The sequence below is a fragment of the Homo sapiens genome, chromosome 6 (genome assembly GCF_000001405.40).
Source record: "Homo sapiens chromosome 6, GRCh38.p14 Primary Assembly".
NCBI classification, from domain to species: domain Eukaryota; kingdom Metazoa; phylum Chordata; class Mammalia; order Primates; family Hominidae; genus Homo; species Homo sapiens.
The window spans coordinates 78,537,827-78,539,689 of NC_000006.12; the positions used below are offsets into that span (position 1 = coordinate 78,537,827).

Consider the following 1,863-nt stretch of genomic DNA (forward strand, 5'->3'; position numbering starts at 1 on the left):
TCAAAGCGAAGGAAATAACGTGTTTCAAGAAGGATGAAGTTTGCCAAATGCCTTTGAGAGATTGAGTAATAGAAGAATAAAGAAACACATAAAATAAATTTTCATAATATCCCTGAGGTAATTATTACTGTATCTTAAAGTTGAAAAGCAAGAATCTTAGAAAGTTGTCACTTAGAAAGCAAGGTCTGGGAACATAATTCTAATTGAGACTATCTGATCATGGACAAGAAGCTTCACATAAAGAGGCAGCAACTGAAAAAGAGTACATAGAAGGTATAATCTGGGAGAGACAGCACCCTAAAGAAGTGATAAGAGATAGGATTCAGAATGACAAATTATGATTCAGGGGAATGAAACATTGCTCATTGTATTTCAATGTGAATGATTCATTCATTCACCAGAAACTTTGAGTGTCCCCACCGTGCCCATACACTGCTCTCAGCTCCAGACTGCTCTTAGCTCCATGATTCTGCCCTCAGCGTACTTATCTTATAGAGAGGGAAGCTAACAATAAACAAGCAAACAAGTAAATAATATTATAGTTTTAGACAGTAACTAATGTTGTGAAGAAAAATAAGTCAATGGAAGCAAAAAGACTATGTGAAGAAGCAAGCATTTTTCAATGGGGTGGTCAGGAAAAGCCCCCTTAGGACCACGCTGAAAATATTTGAGCAGAGACTTAAATGAAGTAAGAGTAAGCCCTGTGTTGATCTAAAGGCAGATCCATCAGCAAGTGTAAGGGCCAGGAATGGGCTGAACTTTGTTCTGTTTGGCAGCAGAGCCAGGCCAGAGGGGCTAGAGAAGAGTGAATGAGAAGGAGTGGTCAGGAAACAAGTTTTGGCCTAATAGGCCATGGCAAGGAGTTTTCATTATACTCTAACTATGATCTCTTAGAGGAATTTTGAACACATAGGGGATTTGGTCTGACTTATATTTTCAAAAGTTCATTCTACCTGCTATGTGAGAAATAAATAAGCTCTGGGAACAAAAATGGAGGCAGGAAGACCAGTTAGTAATCTACAGCAGTTGCCCATAGATTTAATATAGCTTTTCAGACATAATCCAAACCTTTAAATTATCGTAAGTCCTCATTATGCTGAGGCTCAAACTGCTCCTGACATGTGAATGACATGTGTTGATTAAGAAAAGTGCAATTTGAATGAGATGGTCTTGCCACCAACAACATAAGCATTTGAAACATAATTAACCGCTGTTATGTGCTAAAGGTTTGTGTCCCCTCAAAATTCATATATTAAAATACTAACACCCAATGTGATGGTATTAGGAGGTTAGGCCTTTTAGATATAATTAGGTCATGAGGTGGAGTTCTCATTAATAAAATTAATGCCTTTAGCTTAAAAAAAAAAAAAAAAAAGGAAGAAACACAGGATCTCTTTCCACCCTGTAAGGATACAATGAGACAACAACCACCTGCAAACCAGGAAAACAGCCCTCACCAGAACTCACTATGCTGGCATCCTGGCTTCAGATTTCCCAGTCTCCAGAGAAAAAAAATGTCTGTTAAGTCAACTATCTGTAATATTCTGTTATAGCAGCCTGGACTAACTAAAACAACTCCTATGGTTTTAAGGGCATTTATCCAGACAGAAGCTGTGTGGTTCCACTTTATATTTTCAGAAAATCTAGTAGAGTAAATGTTTTTTTCTGTTCTTGGAGATACTTTAAAATATTTCGTAAGTTATTAGCATCATTTACATGGATGCTAGGATATAGCATCACTTACATGTATTAAGGAGAAAAGATAAATATTATGAATCATTTAAATATTTCATATAATGATTGCATTTCAGTGTTAAAAGAGAATATAAGTATTAAAATATGGAATAAGCAAACATATGTTAT

At 36.1% G+C, this 1,863-nt stretch overlaps 1 non-coding gene across 1 annotated transcript; it reads right to left on the reverse strand.

The window, feature by feature from the left end:
• Positions 1-1,436: 1,436 nt before the first annotated feature.
• On the reverse strand, positions 1,437-1,483 carry MIR10524 (microRNA 10524). Its single transcript, NR_162115.1, has one exon. It is a non-coding gene; the product is annotated as a microRNA 10524 (primary transcript).
• Positions 1,484-1,863: the final 380 nt, after the last annotated feature.